This window comes from Homo sapiens, chromosome 2 (genome assembly GCF_000001405.40).
Source record: "Homo sapiens chromosome 2, GRCh38.p14 Primary Assembly".
NCBI lineage: Eukaryota > Metazoa > Chordata > Mammalia > Primates > Hominidae > Homo > Homo sapiens.
The window spans coordinates 24,556,997-24,580,177 of record NC_000002.12 but is presented as its reverse complement, the minus strand read 5'-3'; the positions used below and the strand labels follow the sequence as shown (position 1 = coordinate 24,580,177).

At 37.7% G+C, this 23,181-nt stretch overlaps 1 protein-coding gene and 1 pseudogene across 14 annotated transcripts in view; one reads left to right on the top strand and one right to left on the bottom strand.

Moving 5' to 3' along the window:
• Positions 1 to 23,181, bottom strand: part of NCOA1 (nuclear receptor coactivator 1) — a 279,449-nt gene that overhangs the window by 190,525 nt on the left and 65,743 nt on the right. For 8 of the 14 annotated variants that reach the window (XM_047446155.1, NM_001362950.1, NM_003743.5 and 5 more), the window contains one exon: positions 15,748 to 15,883. The exons of 5 other annotated variants lie outside the window; for them this stretch is intronic. The gene's annotated coding sequence lies outside the window, so the exon portion shown is untranslated. Of the gene's footprint in view, positions 1 to 15,747; positions 15,884 to 16,164; positions 16,275 to 23,181 lie in introns of all 14 variants that reach the window. One more of the 14 variants, NM_001362955.1, reaches the window with a different exon arrangement.
• On the top strand, positions 15,440 to 15,548 carry RNA5SP88 (RNA, 5S ribosomal pseudogene 88; annotated as a pseudogene).

Genomic DNA, 23,181 nt, shown 5'->3' with positions numbered 1-23,181 from the left:
AAGACACAGAAAGTGTAATAAAAACAGTAAGAGAGAAATGATAATTTACCTATAAGAGAAAATAATTCAAATGACAGCAGACATCTCATCAGAAACAAAGGAGAAATGAAAGAAGTGGCACAACATTTTTTACTGACGTCCACACCTGATCATCTGTGTCTATTTTTGCATCTGTTTTTTCTCTTGTTCTGGTTCTTGGCATGTCTGGAATCTGGGGACTCAATGTCAAACACTGTATCATTAAAAACCATAAAGGATGTGAAATTTATCTTCAACTGAAGAGTTTCTTTACTTTCTGGTTGGCAGCGGGAGCTAATAAAATCAGAGATCAAGCTAACTTGAAGCTTGTTTTCAATCTTATTAAGACCTAGTCTACTCCTGGTTCACTCTTACTGCTAGGATGCAGTTGTTCAACCTAGGGTGTTTACCAGGACGCCTCTATCTCTAGCACCATGAAACTGCTGAAAACTCTGCTGAGCTTAGTTTGTTAGCAGCCACTTTCTGCTCAACTTTCCTGCTTATTGGTTTGTGTTGCTTACTAAGCTGTGACAACTCTTAAGGGAAACATGATTCAGACTTATAGGCTCACTTCTCTGTGACTGTCTTCGCCACTCAAGCTCTAGCTACCTTGGTAACCATGAACTCCAACAGTCTCTCATCAGGGTTTGGGGACCTCTAGTTTAACTGAGTGAACCTGTCTTATATGGCAAAGGTAGATTAACTCCTTGAATTATATAGCTCTTTCAATATCAAACTCTGTTGAAAAAGCATCAACGACTTCTCATACAGAAGAATAAAGTCCTACCTCGTTAGCTACAAGTCCACTCAGAATTCTGTCCTTATATATGCCTAACCTCCTGCCTTATTCTCCAGTCAATTCCTACTGTCAGGTCTTTCCTCAGATAAATCCCTCTTCCTGGAGTAGCACTCCCACCTCCTGGCTCCCAAGAGAATCCATATTCTACTAAACTTGCAAACCCCAGTTCAAATTCCTCTAAGAACTCTTCATCAACCAACTTGTTGCCCATCCCCCTTACTCATTAAGGTATCTGAGAACAGGTTCTGTATGTGTATGTTTTAAATTCTTTTTTAACTCAACATTATTCTGTTGTTCATTAAAAAAAAATACTACTAATAATTTTTCAGTACCCACCACATGCCAAGCTTTTCTAAGCACTGGTTTTACAGCAGAGAACAAAAAAAGATACAGTCCCAGTTGTCACAGTGCTAACACTTATATGTAATGGATATGAACTATTCAGGTATTACTTTTGCATAATATATCAAAATTTTCACTGTTGGCCAATTAGGTTGTCTTCAGCTTTTACTATGATAAGTAATAGTATTGTGAATGCAGCTCTAATATAGCTTTTTTTTATTCTTTATTTACTTAGGGTCAATTCCCAAGAGTAAGATCATTAATCCATGCCCTTAGATATGTTTATGGCTTTTAAGATATATACTACCATACTACCTCTCAAATGAGTTATTCCAATTCCAAAAGCAATGCATGAGTACTTGATTCCCTATGGACTTCTTTATTATGGTTACTCAGTAAGTATAAAAAAAGTTATTCACTATTGTTTTTAACTACCAATGATGTTGAACTCTTTTCCTTAAGAGCTAATGGGCATGTCCTTTATTAATGTAGTTACTGGAATCTTAGTGTTGTAAATATTTTCATAATACAGTAATCATGTAAGGTCATATTTGTGTTTTCCACTTTGTTATTTTTCTTTTTAGTTTTAATTGTGTTGGTTTTCTTCATACAGATGTGCTTAGTTTTTATAATCACTTCTTTACAGTCTTCTTACTTTAGAAGATTACTATTCTTTGCACAGTTTCACGAGTTTTTCCAATTTAAAAAGGTCAACCATAACATTTGCATATGAAAAGGCTCTACATGAACTTTCCTAACTGCCATCTGATCATCCCAAAACTTATTAAACAATTCTACCACTGACAGATTTTATGCTTGCTCACTGTACACTAAATTACTAAACTAGATTTTCTTAATACTAAAGATACTTGTTTTTCTTAAAATAATATTTTCAGGTTTCTGAAACTAGAAGTATCAGAAATAAAATCCAAAAAAATTTGCCAGTAGCCAAGCAAAAGAGTACGTTGTGAGGTATGTCACTGCCTACCCATGTGTAAACCTATGGAAAATACATTCCCATAGAAGGTATCTGTCAATCCAACCATGACCACAGCTGAGTTAACTGCACAGGTAAACTCAGATAAGGTTGAATTTTAACTTAAATTTGAAAGCATAACTTGCTTGAAAATGTTTTCAGAGAGACTGAACCGTGTCAAAGCACTGAAATAAAAAGCTATTGTAATGCAAAAGTTGTCTGTTGCAAGCCAAGCAAGGGCAATTAAAGGCAGTAAAAACTGCACAATCTCTCAAAACAGATCATAGAATTATCAGAGCTGGAAGACACTGGTGTGACTAATTTGCATTTTACAAAGTACTATCACCCAAGTGCTGGATATCAATCTGTCAAAAGTTTCCAGCTGACTCAAAAAGGAAGTTATTTAATTCACGGCTTATCTATAAAAAAACTGAAACCATGAGTTCAACCAAAAAGAAAAGCAGTTAAATTCTACACATTTCCATATGACTCAAAATTATACTGGCAATCATAATGTGTAAAGAGACCAAGAAAGCAAGCACAGGTAAGGAAAAGCAGCATGTCAGAATTTGGAAGACGATTACACTCAATCTTATGATTCCCAAAAAGATGAGGTAGAAGTTATATGGATAAATGTATACTTCTGTCAGTAAACCTTTAAGGATTTAAAAAATAAACTTAATGTTTCTTTTTTCATGAAAATATATTAAATCTGTGGCATATGTCACAATTAATAGTGTTTGAATTGAGAAAATGCACTTTGTGTGTGAGTATATGTGTCTACATTTATTCGATTACTAATTTATTCACTCATTCATTTGAGTAGAGAAAAGCAAGATTAGAAAAACAGATAACAAAACTAAAGATATAATGCATGAAGGTCAAACACTTTGAAGAGCCTAAACATTACTGTGATGCAGAAAAATACAAAATATATAAAGAAAATATAATCCAGCTGAAAAATGACAACCAGTTAGATAAACTAGCAACTAACAGAAACAAAGAAAAAACTCATAAAATTAAAAGTAAATACCAGCAAACAGAAATAGCTGAGAAAAAGCAAATAAGTATGGGTCTTAATTCAGTTAAAAGTACTAAGAACTTATTTAAACTATGTGGCAACTGACCAAGACTCAGAATACCATAATTCTTGATCAACTACCCTACTACTGCAGTAGGTACCCGACACTGAAACTGAGAGGAGAATGCATGAAGTGAAATCATCTGTTTATCATCATCAAAGAGTTTGGACCACAGACAACTAGGGACTCTTCTGCCTCAGTTACTGACAAGCCAAACACCTGAAACACTGAGATCAAACCAACTTGTTTCTTAACTTCTTTAACTTAGGCCCACATCTTAATCCACAGAAAAAGGAGGAGGAGAAGTTACTCAAGAATTTCCACAAATAGCCATGATGGAGTAACAGAGATTAGATTTGTTGTCCCAGTTTATACTACCAGAAAACTGGATAAAACAGATGAAACAATGGCTTTTAGATATTAGATACCAGTCAGAGCAGGAGTGGGATTCCTGAGAAAAGATGAAAAAATGATGTGAGTCCTACATTTGCCTGACCTCACACCCTTGAAGCAATTTACAGGATGTAGTGTAAAGAAGGGAGATGGGGCTTAAACAGAACCTTACAGTCTCAAAGAGTTGAGGTCACAAAGATTGACACTTAGTGGGGCCAAGGCAGCCAGAATTTGTGGACTAGCCTAACAGAAAGAAACTACATACAGAGACAGTGCCTTGGAGACATGCAAAGGAGTTCCCACAAGCTGTTAGGAGAGTGCTGATATGTCCTGTGTGGAAGGAAACCACCTGAGGTTGGAGAAAGGACTAGCAAACAAAAAAAAAAAAAAAAAAAAACAAAAAACAAAAAAAAAAAAACAAAGGCCAAATAATTTCTGAAACTCTCACACAAGGCTATGAATAGTTTGTATTCCAATAGGGTAGAGTAAAAAGACCTCCCAATCCATGAAGTATCATGTAAAGTCCTCAGAAGGGTATCAACTTCTAAATTAGCTCTAGGAGAAAAGTCTACTCACTGCTCCAGACTCACCCTAACAAAGCCTCCTTAAAACAAAACAAGTCTTAAAGGGCATCAAAAAAAATTTAACTGCATGCCAAAACTTAGACCAACATTACTTAAAAGAATGGCCTCTTCGGCCGAGAGCGGTGGCTCACACCTGTAATCCCAGCACTTTGGGAGGCCCAGGTGGGCGGATCATGAGGTCAGGAGATCGAGACCATCCTGGCTAACACAGTGAAACCCCGTCTCTACTAAAAATACAAAAAATTAGCTGAGCATGGTGGCAGGCACCTGTAGTCCCAGCTACTCAGGAGGCTGAGGCAGGAGAATGGCGTGAACCCGGGAGGTGGAGGTTGCAGTGAGCCAAGATTGCACCACTGCATGCCAGCCTGGGTGACAGAGCGAGACTCTGTCTCAAAAAAAAAAAAAAAGAAAAAGAAAAAAAATGGCCTCTTTATCACAAAACCTAGCATCCAGTAACGTGAAATTTACAATGTCTGACAATCAAAATTTACCAGACATGTAAATATGACCTATAACCAGGAGAATATCAATAAAAACAGACCCAGAACTGACAGAGAACTTAGCAAACAGAGATGCCAAAAGAGTTATACATATTCTCAATACATTCAAGAAAGCAGAAAAAGATATGGAAGTGTTGAACACAGAAATGCAAGACTGTTTTTAGGCCCAATTGGAGCTTCTAGAAATTAAAAATACAAAATCTGAAATGAAAAATACACTGCATAGGACAGCAGATTTAACACTTAGTTAACTTAAAGATATAGCAATAGAAGATTTCCAAAATGAAGCACAAAGGAGAAAAATACAAAAATAATGAAAGCGAATACCACTGATTTGCAGCAACACACAAACAAGCTAAGATCAATGTAACTGAGGTCCAAAAAACAGAGGAAAAAAAAAGATAAAAAACATACTTGAAGAAATAATGAGCATAATTTTTTCAAATGCTATCAAAACCAGAAACTTACAGATTCATAAGAGGCTCAACAAAATCCAAGCAGGATAAACAAAGAAAATCACACCGACAATTATCATAATCAAATTGTTGAAAACCAGTGATTGGGGGGAAAGAAATGTTAAAGACTGCCAGAAGAGGAAAAAAGATTGTGTACAGAAAAACAAAGGTATGCATGAGAGCAAACTTCTCATCAGAAATTATACAAATAAGAAAACAATGGCGCAAGATTGGAAGGGGGGGAACCTGTCAACCTCAAATTCTGTACCCTACTAAAATATATTTCAAAATGAAGGTGGAAATGTTTTCAGACAACAGCTGAGAAAAATCCATTAGCAGCAGATTTTGCACTTAAAGAAATGATTTTTAGGCAGAAGAAAAAGATTATCAGGTCCAAATTTTGATCTACACAAAGGAGAGTGCCAGCAATGGTAAATACGTTAATAAATATAAACAATATCTTTAAGTTTTGAGTTTCTGGTTGTTTTTTCTTTTCTCAATTGTTTTAATTTCAAGAAAAATCTGTGCTTACAATAGAAACTAAAAAAAAGCAGTAACCTCCCCCAAAAGAGTTTTACTGCACTGAACCATTAAAAAAGTCATACTGATTTTATAATATTAATTGGGCATATTTCCATCTTTTCTATAATCTCTAAAATAGTTCTCACCATAGGAATTATATGTTCCTTGAAAACTAAAAAGAATTAACTGGCAAAAATTGGTTCTGGAGCTAGCTGGATGTAGCTCCAGACCAACTTTTCTTAAATCAGCTTGGGTGTTCCATAATTCATTTCAAATAAATCAGCTTAGAGTTAATAAATAGTATTCGCTTACTATTTTTTAAACATCTTTTCTATTCTTATATCTGCTTTACAAACTTAATTTTGGTTTTCCATCTTTTCCTTTGTAAGATTTGTCAGATATTTTTCTATTTTGTTTTTCAACCCTAAGAAGTAGCTTTTAGATTTTTCATTTCTGTGGTTTCTGTTTTTTAATTCACCTATTTCTGCTTTTATCTTATTAATTTCTTTCCTTTCTCCTAGGCATTTATTTTGTTGAGTCCGTTTGTTTTACTAAATTCTAAGGTTTAGTGCTTAGTACATTTATTTCATTCATTAACAAAGACTATTAATCTACTTCTAAGCACAGTATGAGTCTTAGCCTGAATCTCATTTCAGGTGCTAAATGACCACTTATTGTACATTTGATCTCCTGTTTGACCCGGTATTTATTTAAGCAATTTTTTTGTTTGATTTGTCCAAATGGTTAAAGTTGTATATTTTAAATTTCTGCTGCAGTCAGAGAGAATGGACATATGTAGTTTCAGCTTTTCTGGAATTTACTGAGATTTTCCTTTGTGGTTTAATCTAAAATTGATTTTTTAAAATGTTGCATTGACTGGAAAACTGGAAAAATCAACTTAATCCCAAATTTAGATATAAGCTTCATAAATAACTAAATAAACCCCAAATCATCAATGCAGGTTTTACACTACATTTATTCAGGCTTACAATTTTTACTAGCATTAAATGCATCCATACAATATGAAGAGTAAGGACAGAGATTCTCGATTTTGTACCTTTATCTAACTCTGGGTTTGCTGGGCTTGCAAAGGTCAACCAAAGAGTGTTTCTTAATAATGTAAGGAATTTCTAATTTCAAGAAATGTTAAAAATTCTCAAAAACTTTAATAGCTATTTAGTAACTTACACCTAAATGGTTATTGGGACAGTATCTGAAAATATGTATAAAGTATCTATCACAGCACTTGATACGCAGCAATCATTAAATATTAGCTATTTTCTTACATTTTTGTTTTTCTCATATCTGCTTTCTTTTCTCTTAAATTCACTTCATCTCACATTCTATATAGACCACATTAACTATGCCTCCTCATTTAAGATCATCTTCAAAGCAATAAACATTTCAATACCTTCACCAAGTAACTGATAACAAAAGTTAAATTGAGTACCTCTCAACTATGCTTCCTCTTATATATCACCTTTTGGTTTCCAGAGCATCCAGATTTCATTGGAAAGCATTTCATTTCATGATTAGATACGAGAGTGGGTTTGTCATACACATTTGTTATTCAAAAAAATATGTTTTATCTCTTATCAATAACCTACGGGCCCCCCAAAAGCAAATCCCTTTCTTTAACACAGTCAAGTAATTGGTGATGCAATTTCAATAGCTATGCCACTCAATAATAATAACTGGCCTTTGGAAAATAAAAGATACTTTGTGTGGCCACAGTCTTCAGTTTCCAAATACTTTAACATCATTTTCAAAAATAAAATTAAAGATATGTTAAAAGGTTGCTTCAGTACACTCCTATGTAAAATAGCAGGTGCAGCTCGGGTGGAGAGAGGGAGGTGATGGAGTACAGAAAAATACCATAACTTTTAACTAGCTATCCCAGGTCTTCAGAGTCACCTTCCACAATCTTCACGAAAAAGTTATCTGTAATTGTGAGCCTTCTCTCATATGAATGAAATCAAAAGTTTTCTTTCTTACTAGAGGCTATGTGCCTCCTTTCATGAATTGTAGTATCCTACTATGTCATAACGTCCTTTGCAATTGGCTAAAGAGGAACCAAAACACTCAAGAAGTTGGGACAGGTCACATTTTCCCTAAATTGTTCCCACTTCACCCCCAATAAACAAGTATTCTTTTGGAAACCAACTCAAGTCAGTAATCTTTCTCAAACTCAGAGCCTATCATTAAAAAGTTCCTTGCAGAGAACACAGAGATTACTCATTAAACCACCCTAACACATTATCAAGTTTTACCCACCTGTCCCAGGCCTAGGACTTCTTAAAGTGACTAAGCCATATTCTTCCCTCCCCATTTCAAAAGTTACCTAAAGAGTAAAGAACAATTTTTGAACAAAATTATGAAGTGGCTGTCTCTTAAACCAAAAAGCGTATTTACTAGATACATATTATGTGCTAAACTGTGTACTAAGTGCTTTGCTTATCTCATGTAATCTATGTAAAGTCAAGCAGGGGGTAATTACCTAACGTGTAGGAGTTAAGGGGAGGAAGGAGTAATTTTATCTAAGTATCACAAAGAAATTCAGCAAGTAATACCAATAAAATCAAGTAATCAAAAGTAAAATGAGCCATGAATGAACTGCTTACAGATCAGGAGAGAAATATAATAAAAAATACTGAACACTGTTATAATACACTTGATCCTTTGGTTTCTGGATACACAGTAAGCTAATTCTAGCCCCTTACTAAGTACCTTGTATTTGTAAAGGAGCAAAGTCAGCTGGACTCTGGATTCCCTATGTATTAAGATAACTTACAAAATCAAAATTATACATAAAAACTGGTCTTTAAAAGGTGAACTCCTTGGCCAGCGCACTAAGAGAAACAAAAGAAAGACTGGAGTAGAGGGATTAAAAATAAAAAGTTATAAAGAGAGATACAAAAACTAGAGATGCATAGACTCTAGGGCTAGAATGCCTGGATACAAATCCCAGCTCTAAAACATAGCACCTGGGTAACCTTTGCAAGTTAATGTCTACTTCACAGGCATTCTTGTGAGGATCTAATGGGTAAATATGTATAAAGTGCTGAGAAGAGAGCCTGGTAAACAGTAAGCACTATACAGTAAAACTGTCCCTTGCAGGCAATAGGATTTTCTATATAGTACACTCAGCAGACTCAAGAAATTATCAGAAATATAACTGAGCAGGTTGCTAAATATACATAATTCAACTGTATTTTTGGACCTTTTTCCTATGGAATTTTTCCAAAAAGTTTAGGGAATATTATCAAGAATTACTCCCACCCCCTCACGCACTGTCCCCCAAATCACAAGTGTCTAGTTGCACGATCAACTAATGGCCAATCTTACTTAATCCTCACCCACAACCTCCCCTGTACTCGAGATAGTAAGGAAGCAGGAGCCCAGGCATATCTTTCGTTACATCAATATTTCATTATGTATCGCTAAAAGGTAAGGGCTTTTAAAAAATACATAACTACATACTATCATCTCACCTAAAAATTAACAATAATTCTTTAATATCAAATATCTTGTCAGTGTTAAAATTTCCCTATTTCATAAATGTTTATTAAAATTTAGACTCAAATAAAGTCCAGGCACTGCTGTTAATCTACGGTTTCCTCCTCCGTTTCTCTTTTTTCTCCCTACAATTTGCTCGTTGAAAAACAAGACATATGTCTCTAAGAGTTCCCCATAACCTATATTTTGCTAACTGCATTCACATGGTATCACTTAATGTGTTTCTCTGTCTTCTGTGTTTCCTGTAAACTGGTAGAGCTAGAGACTTGATCACATTCGGGTTCAACTTTTTTGGCAAGAATACTTCATGGGCAGCACTGTGAACTTTCATTAAGAGAAAGCTAATGTCCGTTTCTGCCCGTGCAGTTAGCAGCCATTCATGATCTTTGCTTAGGTTCAGGAATTCATTAGAAAATGGTGATGTTTTTATTCTATCTGAGAAAAGAAACTTCCTCTCAGCAACTATTTGGTTGCTCTAAAGCATAGTTGGCTCCTTAGCATACTCTGAAGAAAACTAATGAGTTCTTGAAGTATCATTATGAACTCACGGATTTAAATATATTTGATATGATTCATTATATTGCAGTTAATGCTTACTGATGCTCAGATTGTCTCATCTTCTTTGGCCAACCAGAGCCCATTCAATTAAGCACCTGAGTTGTAACAACCCTATTAGTGTTTGATAACTTCACTGCAAGATGTTCAAACACCCACATCTGGAATCAGATTGAACCATAAACCAATTTTCATATTCAGCTGGTTTCTTTCTTGTTCTTTATTTTTAGTAAATAAAAATCTCTAATTATAAATCATAAATCAGTGGCATTATACAGCCTGGATATTATGATTGAACGTGGACCCAGAAATTATATAGCAAGACTTCTCACTGATTTTTAATTTCAGCATTCCTTTGAATGCTAAAAAAAAAAAAAAAAAAAAGTATATACCACTTAAAGCTGGAAATTAAGTGCTTCAACTTGAGAAATTGAAAAAAGGACTCCTAATCTACTTTCTGCTTGCATTTTGACTCTGGGAAGTATTTTTCCATGTTCTATTTCAAAATTTGGATGTGGTTTTTAGACATGTATAATACAAATTCTTTTTTTTTCTTTTTTTTTTTTCAGACGGAGTATCACTCTGTTGCCCAGACTGGAGTGCAGTGGCGCGATCTTGGCTCACTGCAACCTCCGCCCCCAGGGTTCAAGCGATTCTCCTGCCTCGGCCTCCCAAGTAGCTGGGATTACGGGCGCCTGCCACTGCACCCAGCTAATTTTTGTATTTTTAGTAGAGACGTGGTTTCACCACATTGGCCAGGTTGGTCTTGAACTCCTGACCTTGTGATCCACTCACCTAGGCCTCCCAAAATGCTAGGATTACAGGCCTGAGCTACCGTACCTAGCCCAAATTCAGTAAAAAAAAAAAAAAAAAAAAAAAAAAATTAATAAAACCAACAAGTTTGAGGATACGGTCAAACTCTCAGAGGTTGAATTATTTTGCACCGTAATTCAGACTTTTACAAAATCCTCATATTTCATCCTTAACATTGAAATTCATGATATCATGAATATAAAGTTGTAAGTTCAGACTATTTGAAATACCACAGGTATTTCATAACTAGGTAAGTTATGTCCCTTGAAATCATACAATATCAGTAGCAAGTATATCTTTATCTCATTTTACTAAAAAACTAATTAACAAACATGTAAGCCCTTTCCTCCTATACAGCTAACATATCACTGTGAAAAAGCAAAATACTATTGCTGCTATTTTGTCATAAAACTCTGAAAAGAGGTGGCTCTAGTGGCCAAAACTGCTTACATCCACAAGTTTTACTATTTTCTTCAACACTAAATCATGACAAAAAGTCACATTACTAAATGCCAATTCTCCTCTCTGAAAAAAGTGGGATATGAATTGATATCCTGCTGCAACTTCTTTTACTTAAAAAGCAAGTAGACCATTTCCTGCAGCTATAGTTGTTGGTGCTTTGATCAGAAGGAAACAAAGAAGCTTTTCTAGGCTATAATGGCTTAAAAAAACAACAGACCAATAACAAAACATAAAACTCTTCTGCTATAGTGATTTTTCAGTGATAAACAGTAACACACCTGTATCAAGCACTAGTATATCCTCTGTACATCAGTGCTTTCATCCAGCTGAAAAACAAAATACTGGCATGGGTACATGACAGTAATTGCTTTTCCAGATGGTATGTCTTTGATAAAGAATTTGTGCCAAAAGCTCATTTTACTTTCTCTGCAAGCATAATATTTGCTATTAACTTTGAAACTGGTTTTACAAGCTTCTCAATAGTAGTGAGTAGACCTGCTTTTTCCTATGAAAAAGATACCTCTGAATGATACAGTAATGTGGACCTCTCTGTCTTAGCAACAACATTCATTAATTTCACACTAAAAAGCATTATTTTTCATTATTTCACACACATTTCATTCTTCATCACCTCTAAAAATTAATTCTTACAGAAAAGGAAACTAAGAAATATTACTTCAATTCTCCCAAGGTAGCATGAGAGTAAAGCTTCTGCTCTTTCCATCACAGCACAGAAAAAAAACTGTAGCAGGGAATATCCATTCCCTTAATATAACTGGCCAAAATTTGCTTTCAAATGTTTTACTGAGTCCAGACAAAACATTTTAAAAAGGTACCATTTCAACTTAATGTAAACTGTAAACCAGGACATATAACTTTGCAAATGTTCTAGGGCCTTAACTTCCCGTCTCAAGTATTGATTTTGCTCTTATCCCCCAAAACAACAAAATCCCATATTCTTTAAATCTGAAGTTCAAATGTAAAACTCTTCCAAGCACAAATTTGTGAGATTTTTCACTTTTCTTCATTTTCAAAATGGAAAATGACAAATATGAATAGGGGATATCACTCTGTGAACATTTGAAAAACAGTGAGGAGATATAAGAAATTGATAAATGGCCAGGTGCAGTGGCTCATGCCTGTAATCCCAGCACTTCGGGAGGCCAAGGTGGGCAGATCACTTGAGGTCAGGAGTTCAAGACCAGCCTGGCCAATATGGTGAAACTCCGTCTCTACTAAAAATACAAAAATTAGCCAGGTGTGGTTGTGCACACCTGTAATCCCAGCTACTGGGGAGGAGGAGAATTGCTTGAACCCAGGAGGCGGAGGTTGCAGTGAGCCAAGATCATGCCACCACACACTCTAGCCTGGGCAACAAAATGAGACTGTCTTAAAAAAAGAAATTGATAAACAAGAAATTCCTAATTTAAAAATTTAAGCAACCTAATTTAGGCTATATGGCACTTTTATACAACCAATTAGCAATTTCAATTGATGAGAACTTCCTATTCCCTAATCTTTACTTTTGTTAAGGTCTGAATATAGAACTTAAGTATATTACTTAGAAAGGGATTCTAGATTTTGACTTGATGTACACAGTCTATGACTGCACATAAATGGCTTCAGATGGGTGTATCTAGTCTTCCTAGCCCAAGAGTAACCATTCTGAATAAAAGACATCTTCAATTCCATTTATAATGAAGTTACAGAATAATTTATATTCTTCCCCATATCTAGACTCATTCTTTACAAAGCTTGGGCATTCCACTAATGTTCCTAAGTGAAAGTAAGAAGAAAAGATATACCTAAAAAAACAAGTAAAATGGCTCTGGTACTAAGACGAACTATATATTTAATCATCATTACTATTTGAGTTCAAACGCCAACAAGAAAACAAAGAAAAGTACAATACATCTACTAATTGCCAGGGACGTTTTAAAACTTATCATCAAAGTAACCTCTTTTTCATCTGCTACTTGATTTGAGATAATTTTTCTTCAGCAAAAATTGCTCAATTACACTAACCCCTTTCAGGAGATAATCCATTTATTGTAGCTGAGGCAGTCTTAGTGATGGCAGCAGCGGCCCATCTAGAGCAGCTGCAGTGGGGTAAGTGTAGGAAGGGCTGTGTGCTCCACTGAGCCAGCAGGGGCTGGGAGCAGGCAGAAGGCCCGCCCTCCTGGGTGCAGCTGCAACTGCCCATCCACCACTGTGGACCCAGACTTCTCTGCACTCTTAGGGACCCAGGAAGGCCCCCCATGCCCCTGCAGGCTCAGAAGTGCCTACTCCCACTGCCTGGTCTCTTCCTGCTCCCAGCGCCTGCTCCAATCTCGGAGCAAAGTTGAGGCCAAGGCCGGGCACTGTTGCAACCCAGCTGGGTGGGTGCCAACGAGCACGGGTGAGAGAGGACAAGGAGAGACTCGATGCTGGCCTGCAGGTGCCCCTCAGCAGGAACAGCCTGGGCACCATGAACAATGGTAGGAGGCAGATAGACTTCTGGGCAGAAAGGGGCAGGTCCCTGGTGAAGCCTCACCTTCAAACCGGAGAAGGCTTGAAGCCTGGGGCCAAGCTGCCAGTCCTGTGGACTGGAATGGAAACTTACAGTGCTTTTTCTGGGCCCACTCATGAACCAATCAGCATGCACTTCAGCCCCTGGGAAGCCCATAAAAACCCTGGATTCAGCCAAATTCGAGGAGAGGATAGGATGACCAGCTGTGGAGAGGAGCTACCCACTCCAGGGTCTCCTCTCTGCTGAAAGCTGAGCACACAATGGAACTACCAGTTGTGGAGAAGAGCTGCCCACTCCAGGGTCTCCTCTCTGCTGAAAGCTGAGGAGAGGATGGGATGACCAGCTGCGGAGAGGAGCTACCCACTCCAACTCCATGGTCTCCTCTCTGCTGAAAGCTGAGCACTCATCGGGACACCCTGGCTGCAGAAAGGAGCTACCTATTGCAAGTCTCCTCTGAGGTGTTCTATAGCTCAATAAAGCTCCTGTTCCCTTTGCTCACCCTCCATTTACCCGTGTACCTTATTCTTCCTGGGTGTGGGACAAGAACTCGGGACATATCAAATGGCAGGATTGAAAAAGTTGTAACACAAACAGGACTGAAACATGCTCCTTGCTTGCCACGTTGTGGGTGAGAAGAGGAGAGAAGAGCTGCAGCCTTCAGGAAGCCCAGACCTAGGAGTTCCTTGAGCCAGGGCAGTGACACCCTCTTTGGAGCTCTGCAGTTCCTGGCATCTCCAAGCTTCTGAGGGCCACTGCATTCCCTGGTGCCAGCCAGGGAAGCTGCTTGTGATACACCTAGTCCAGACACAGCTTGCAGGGAGTGAGCGCCCGTGCTGATGCCTGGAGCTGCCTGCCCCGCCACAGCCAGCGTGCCTGGCTGTGCACAGTGGCCAGACCCCACACTCGCTTGCTCACACACCCCCTGCTGCTCCGCTCGCCCTTGGCAGGCATGGGATCCAGGCCAGTAGTGTGAGCTGCACACAGCCTGCCAGGCTGAGTGGGCCCACTGGGCCCAAGCAAAACTCAGGCAAAGGCGCCACCAGCCACAGAAGTTTCTGGCCAGTGAAAGGACACCCCAAGGATCCCATGACATTAGGATTCCCAATATCATGAATTCTTATTATTTTTGGAATTTATGCTTTACATAGTCTTCTTCTAAAACAGAACAAAGTTAAGAATCCTAGTAATAAGTGATACATATTTACATTTTTCTCAGGTTTTACTTTCTCTATATTCTAGCAAAATATTAATTTACAAAACTCTGTAACATATTCAGAGAAATCAACAAACTCTGACCTGTCCCCTAAAATACTTAGCATACTTTCTGCCTATTTGGAAAAATATAATTAAAATAAAAAATATTTTGTTTTTAAATAAACACCTAACTCACTCTACCTGTTTGGAATTCATGTGAAAACAGAACTATTTTTGTTTTTGCTTTCTGTTGACATTATATATCTTTTTTGTTTTATTTGTCTTATGTAGTCTTTCAAGTGGGGATCCACCCCATGTTTTGGAAGTGTCACCTGATTCTTTAGTTAAATATCTTGGTTTTCTGGCCCAAGTAATTCATTAGATCCCAAAGGTCCTACAGGGACAGCTTATGGGGAGTAACAGTGACACATACTGGTGAATAGAAAATCCTTAACAATAAATTTAGGAGGAAAGGCAAGAAAGGTTTCAAACCATCTAAAGGATGATCAGTAAGGTCTCTGACATCTTGCAGGTGGACTCAGAGTGCTGCATTCAGTTCCTTTTCTCAGGGGTCATAATGTAAATAAAATAATTATTAAATTGACATTTATTTATTCCAGTTCTTCTAATATAGTTACTGAGACTTAATCTACACTTAATTTATCTCTTATAATTGACATGCTTTCCTAATTTTAATAAATATATCCCTTTAAAATCTTGTCTACAGCCATACCACCCTGAACACACCTGATCTCAAAAGCAAAGCACAGTCGGGCCTGGTTAGTACTTGGTTGTGAGACCACATTGGAATACTGAGTACTGCAGGCTTTTGGAAAAAAAATCTGGATCTTTTCTCAGTTGGTTTCTTTGGGAGTATAGTGGGAAAGGAGGGAAGTGAACTCTTCTCTAAGAGCTAAGCATTCTAACATATAAGTACTTTTAAACTCACCAAACCTATATCTAGAAATCAACACTAGAAAATGACTACTAAGGAGTCAAAACTAAAGTAAAATTGTGTCTCAAATACCTCAGAATAAGTAGAAATTCTAAATGTTGGTAACTTCTTTTGGAAGCAAAGTTGCCTACTGCATGATCTTGCTTGATGGTCCTTGATTTTATCATCAGAGTCAGTTCCAGTTACATTTCCATTAGTATGGATAGATCTAAAGCAGGAGAGAGAAGACACAATTGGGCCATTGAAAACATTACAGATTTTGGGTAGTGTGACACACCACTGTTTGTAAGCATACAAAGATTCTTACACAGATGCTTTAGTTATTCAAGAAATGTCAATTCTCATTCTTGTCACTACTAACAAGTTTTTAAAAATTAATTTAAATATTAAAGGTATAATAGATAAATATATCAAGTTGACAAAAGGTAGTTGCTGGCTCTTTTAAAAGCTCAGATCCCCAAAGGAGGCATGAAATCAATTGGGGCTTGCCTTGGTATTCCAGGGGAGTTGCTGAAGTCACCCCAGCAGCAGTAGCCTGAGTATCCAGTTTCAGGTAAAGTGGAACAGTAAAAGGAAACAGGGTTCCTAGCAGAAGAACTCTGTAATAAAGAAGCACCTGATATCATGGCTATTATTCCGTCCTAGGCCACTGGAAGTGGGATATTACAAATTAGATTTTACTAAATTAATGGTACAGTAGATCATGCTTGTAATCCCAGCACTTTGGGAGGCCAAGGTGGGCAGATTGCTCGAGCTCAGGAGTTCAAGACCAGCCTGGGCAACATGACAAAACTCTGTTTCTACAAAAATTACAAAAATTAGCTGGGCTTGGTGGCATCCACCTGTAGTCCCAGCTACTCGGGAGGCTGAGGTAGGAGAATGGCTTGAGCCCAAGAGGTTGAGACTGCAGTGAGCCAGGATCATGCCACTGTACTCCAACCTGGGTGAAAGAGTGAGATCTTGTCTCAAAAAAAAAAAAAGAGAGAGATTTACTGGCTTTTGCTATTTAAGGCCAAACTAATTTAGGCTTTACCACCCAGGGTTAAGCTTTTTACTAACATCTTCTTTACAATCACAAAGACAGGCAGTGGATCAGGCTCCAGAGACGGTCATTATACCACGGGTCAGAAATGTGGGGCTAGTTACTTCTACCTGTGACTCCTACGCCTATCACTCTTGGGCTTTATTCAAAACACAAGCCATTCTGGCCAACTACCCTCTGTCCTATTTACATGCCCCCAGTTATGCTTTCTCATCTACTCCATTTGGTCTCCCACTGCTGCCCTTGCTTCTAACCTTTTCCACAAGGACCTCTGGAAATCCCTCTTATGTAAGTAAAACAAATCATCTCTACATTCTCATCACTGAGAATGATGACCAACTCTGACCACTCACTGGCCAACTCTCATCACTGACCATCACTGACCAACTCTTTCAACCACTGGGCTAAATCTGGCTTTCGAAAATAATGCTTTAGAGCGAAGGATAAGGCAGCAAAGACAAAATTCTCCAGAGTGACACTTCCAGACCCTCCCAAGCAATTTCCTTCCTTCCCTGTGATGTCCCATCTGGCTGTATAACCCTCTTCTTCAATTTGTCATTCAATATCTCACTCTATTTTTTCTAACCTGAGTCCAGACTCATTCCCTTGGATGCACTCTACCTGCTCTTTCTCCATTCTAGTCGCTTGTTATCTCCAGTTTCAAAATCTTGGTCATCTCCCCAACTATAAATCCACATAGTATGCTATTTCTTGCTTCAGCTTCACCACCCTCAAACTCCTAATCCAATCACCTGCTAGAGAAAAATCACACAACCATGTGAATTGATCCTGCTATAAAATTATGGTCTCAAAATTCAGCTAGACTCCGAATGCTGTGCAGCAACCCTTAATGCACCATTAATCAGGTCCTTCTCCCATAATTGACACTGCCTTTTTTCCCAAACTTTTGCCACTCTACCTCTTCCAGCCCTACTAGGGGTGGAATGGAATCGAGGTTTCTTCATGTTTTCCTTACCCATTTGTGTAAATTGTTTATATTGTGAAAATACAGATTGAGTATCCCTTATCCAAAATGCTTGGGACCAGAAGTGTTTCAGACTGCAGATTCTTTTGGATTTGGGGATATTTGCATTACACTTACTAGTTGAGAATGTGAAATCCAAAAATCTGAAATTCAAAATGCTCCTTTGAGCTCATGTCAGCATTCAAAAAGTTTTGTAATGTGAAGCATTTCAGATTTCAGATTTTCAAATTTGGGTTGCTCAACCTGTACTATTTCTCTTGCTTACTTTTAACATGTTCTCAGTCTTACCACTGGCCCTTAATACAGAAGTTTTTATTTTCAGGTGGATGGATTTGCCCATCATTGACTTTTTCATATCTTTTATTATTTCTCTGCTTTGAAATTTCTCCCCCTTTAATAATAGTAGATAATGCTCTGATTTTCATTTTTCTATGGACTAATCTTCTCAATATTTCATTTCATATAATGTATAGAGTGAGATTTGGCTCTAAACTGACCTGCATTTCAAATTACCAACCAGTTTTTCCTAGCAACATTAAGGTATTCTCATCATCCCTTGGTTTACAAAGTTTCTTCTTTTATACTTCCTTTGTTTGCCCATAAGGTTGGTCTCTGAGCTATAATCTATTTAAGTAATTATTGTTTCTTTGTAGGTTTTAATTTGTGATAAGAATATTCTTGGTATTTTCATCTATTTTTTTCTGACAATAAACACATCTTATCAGATTCCAAGGGTATTCCTGGTGATTTCATGAGTAAGAAATGGCTGCCTTGCCCACTCCAAGTACTGTGTACTTCTGTTATAGTTTTTATCTATACAAAGTGCTCCTTTCTACTTTGAGTGAACATCCATACTACTACTGCTTCTAAAACCAAAACCTTCCTAATTGTGCTAGAAAGCTACCTTTTTGCATATTTCTCTATCTGGAGCCAGATTCATGAAACCTTGTCCTTCACAATTTTCCAAACTTTGTATTCACTCTCTCATTGGTGAAAGCTGGCTTATGTAAAATAAAAGCATCTCACATCCAATTTTTGTTTCATAGACTAACATTTTTTATCGCTCTGAAGAATTTTTCAGATCTTCCTATCTTTCAATATCTACATAGTTATGTCTATTGGTTTTCATTTTTTGAATACATGCTATATTCATGATTTAAAAATCAAAATGATATAAAAGGAAACCTATATCTAAGAAGTCTCATTCCCACATCATCCACATGCAGGTCATTTTGCCCTTGCTTACTGTAGGTTACCACTTTTATTAGTTTCTTATATATTCTTCCAGCAATGCTTTACACAAAGACATTTACCTACAAATACAGTCTTATTCCTCCTGCCTTCTTACAAAAAATGTTCAGTTTTGCATCTTACTTTTTATTCAGCAGTATGTCCTGGATATCCAAGTTAGGAAATGTTTCTTTATTGCTTTTACAGCTCTACAATATTCCATTGCATAAACATATACTAGTTTGTGTAACGAATCCCCTATTTTCCAAAAATTAGATTTTATGAATTTAAGTCTTATTTCTGACAATAATTTAGTTCAAAAGCAACAACAACTACACAAACCAAACAGCACAGAAACCTCTGTGGTGTGATTTCACAAATTTGTATTCTATTAATAAATATGAGCTTCCTTGTACGTCACTTTATCTTTTATCTCAAGTTTACTCTATGATCCTATCTAAAAACTCAACAACCATTATGCTCATAAACTTGCAAAATCTTAAAGCTGCCCAATCTCACTGAGGGTTTCAATGGGCCTGCAAAAAGTAAAACACATTCTACAAGAGACACAGTCAAGAATGTTCCATTCTACTTATTGGAATCAGGAAAGGCTTCATGGAGGAAATAGCCTGGGTTCAAACCTAAAAGATGAAGTGATCAAGACGCAGATGAGAGAAAAGGGAAAACATTAAAGGAGGATCAGCATAAACAGAATTTTTAAATTGTCAAGCACTCTAAGTAGTTCCATTTCTGCTTAGAATGCAGAAAGCCACCAAAGAATGTCATTTCCACCCTAATGAGAAAAAAAAATCATATCCATAGAATCAAAACTTCTCTTGGTCTAACAAAGAGTGGAGGTCACAAGGCAACCAAGTAAATTTAATAAAATTCCAAGTACATTTTATTCCTCTCCTTGGAGGGATAACTCCTCCAAGGAAAGACTACACACAAACTGTCTGACCTCTGGCAGGTCACAGAAAAAGAAGTGGCCACTATACAACAGTATAAGAAAAAATCAGCTAAAATTTTAACAAATTCTTAAAGACCAAGTGTAACCTATTATGACAGTTTAGAATAGCTGGGGACCCCAGACATAAGGAAAGTTCTCTCAGTTGCAAGATTTTCCACGTGCCTTGACCAGGTGCTCACAAGAAAGATTAGTATAATAGTAGGCCAGGAAACCAGAGAGAGCCCTCATCATCAGGGGAAGTGTGCAGGAGGTGTCTAGGACAAGGCTGAAGCCTGATTCCCCAACTGTTCTCCAACACAGAAAAAAAGCCTCAAGCCACTAGGAGAAGAACAGAAAATCCTCTAACCAAAGGTCCTGGCAAAAATCCATTGCTTCAGGGCAGAATGGAAGCAAAATGCCTCTGCCTCTGGGGAACAGATAGACAAACACTCTCAGTTATGTTACAGGGAAAGATACAATGTTGCTAGGAGAGGGGTAGAGGCAAAAGAACCTCTGCCAGGTGGTGGAGTACAGAGCAGGAAAAAGAGTTAGGCAACGAATCCTGCACCAATACCAAAGAAACTTCTACTACCGCTAGGGGAAAAGAAGGATATTCCTGTCCATGACCTACCACAAAACATGGAAGAAAGGGCAGGCCACAAGAAAGAGAAGGCAGGAATGCTGAGGCTGAGAGAGCCCAGTTGATGCCCAGGACAAATGGCCTGAATACAATTGAGTCTGAACCAGAACAAAAGAGAAGCCTGCTCTGCACCACAAGCATGGCACTGAATAACAAACAACAGGCTATCACTGGGAAAGGGGCAACAACATAAGGAGAAATATTGGTACTTCTATGCACAGATGTGCAAAGACTGTTGGAAGATGAGGATGGTACAGGAACACAGAGAAAAATCTTGTAGAGCGACATGCCATTCTCTAAACACAAGGGACCAGCAGCCAACTGCTGGAGAAATATGAAGCTTGTGGTGCACTGAGAGGGTAATGACGGTGACAAAACCCAAAATCAGCTCAACTCTTGATTACACTGATTCAGCCTCCAACACAAACAACCTGACAGAGGCAGCAGCAAAAGAGGATCACCTTAGTCTCGTCCTTTTAGCAGAGAGATGGAAACTTTAAAAAGTAAAATATGAAAGCTAAAAACAAAAAGAAAAAGATATCAGAGGTGAAAAATTATTTTTCTAACTGCACTACCCCAGTCTGATTCAACTTTTATGTAACAAAGTTGCGAGTTGTTTTTCAGTTGCCATGGACCCCCACGTTGAATGTCACATAACCTGAGCATGCCCAGATAAACCAAGCATGCAACCACAAGTGGAACCTAAGTGCTCAGACTAAGGAACAGGGACTGAATTAAGAAGCAGACAGCATACAGCAGGATTCAGGATCCAACGAGATCAAGCCCTGGCATTACCCCAAGACAGGATCCAATCAGATCACACCTCTAGGTATCACCTCATCGCAAGATCCAATTAGATCATGCTTCATTACTCTCTGACTATAAAACATGCCCCAGCTCAGGAGACAGATTTGAGCCACTCTCCTGTCTCCTAATTTGGTGGCCTTGCAATAAACTTTTCCCTCTACAAAAACCTGATGCTTCGGTGTTTCGCTTTTGATATTGTTTGACTGTGTCCCCACCCAAATCTCAACTTGAATTGTATCTCCCAGAATTCCCCCATGTTGTGGGAGGGACCCAGGGGGAAGTAATTGAATTATGGGGGCCAGTCTTTCCTGTGCTATTCTCGTGATAGTGAATAAGTCTCATGAGATCTGATGGGTTTTATCAGGGGTTTCCACTTTTGCTTCTTCCTTATTTTCTCTTGCCACCACCATTTCAGAAGTGCCTTTCACCTCCCGCCATGATTCTGGGGCCTCCCCAGCCATGTGGAACTGTAAGTCCAATTAAATCTCTTTTTCTTCCCAGTCTCGGGTATGTCTTTATCAGCAGCGTGAAAATGGACTAATACAGTTTTCCGTTGCACACAGGCAAACAAACTTAGTTAAGTTCAGCAGCACTTTGACTGGCTCAACAGTAGCCTGGACAGGGATGAAGAAAGAACAAGTGAACTTGCATACAGGTCAATAAAAATAATCCAGAATGAAACCAAAGTTAAAAAGAGTGGGGGAAAAATACAGTTTGGAGTATTCAAGAGCTGTGGAATTATATCAGAATGTCTATTACTCCCAGGAGAAGAAAAAAAAATAATGGAGACAAAAAATATGGAAGAGATCATGGCCAAGAATTTTCCCAAAATGAACCCAAGGGTTCATTTTGGGAAAATGAACCAGAGATCCAAAAAATTCCAAGGAACCCTTCATAATAAACACCAAAAGCACACACACCAAACATACATGGATATATCATAGTCAAACTGCTGAAAATGAAGATAAAAATCGCAAAGTTAGAGAGAGAAAAAAATATCACAAAGAACAAAGATTAAAATTACAGAAGACTTCTTATCAGGAAAGTATGCAAGCCAAAAGAGAATAGAGTATATACCTTTCAAGGATTGAAAGAAAAAAAAGCTGAACATAGAATTCAGTTCTATGTATAGAATTCAATAACCAGCAAAAATACTTTTCGACAATAAAGGGCTTTTTTTGAACTAATAATACCTGAGATAATTCACTCCCTGCAGACACAAAATATATTAAAGGCAGTTCTTCAGGCAGAAGTATAGTACCAGGTAAAAATCTGGATCTACCAAAAAAGGGGGAAGGGAGGGGAGAAGGAGGAAGAAGAAGAAGAGGAAGAAGAGGAGGAGGAGCAGGAGGAGGAGGGGGAGGGGGTAGCAAAGACGAAGAGCATTGGAAGATAAATATAAAAGACTACTTTTTCTTACTTTGTTCACCGTAGATTATTCACCAACTAAAGCAAAAATTAATAAGACTGCATTGTAGGGTTAGTAACATATAGAAGTAAAATGTGTAACAACATGGCATAAAAAGGGGAGATACAAAATTGAAGTACAGTGCTGTAAAGTTATTATATGACATATAAAGTGGCATAATATTATTTAAAGGAAGAATGTGATAAGTTAAAGATATATCTTTTAAACTCTAGAGTAGCAGTTCTCAACCAAGGGCAATTCCCGCCCCAACCCACCGTTGCTACCCCCATGAAAACATTTAGCAAAGTCTGAAGGCATTTTTGGTTGTCACAATTGGGAATGGGGCGTGGCTGCTACTCTCATCTAGTAGGCAGACACCAAGGATGCTGCTAAAAATCCTACAATACATACAGGATAGCCACCCCCCCCAACCCAACAACAACAA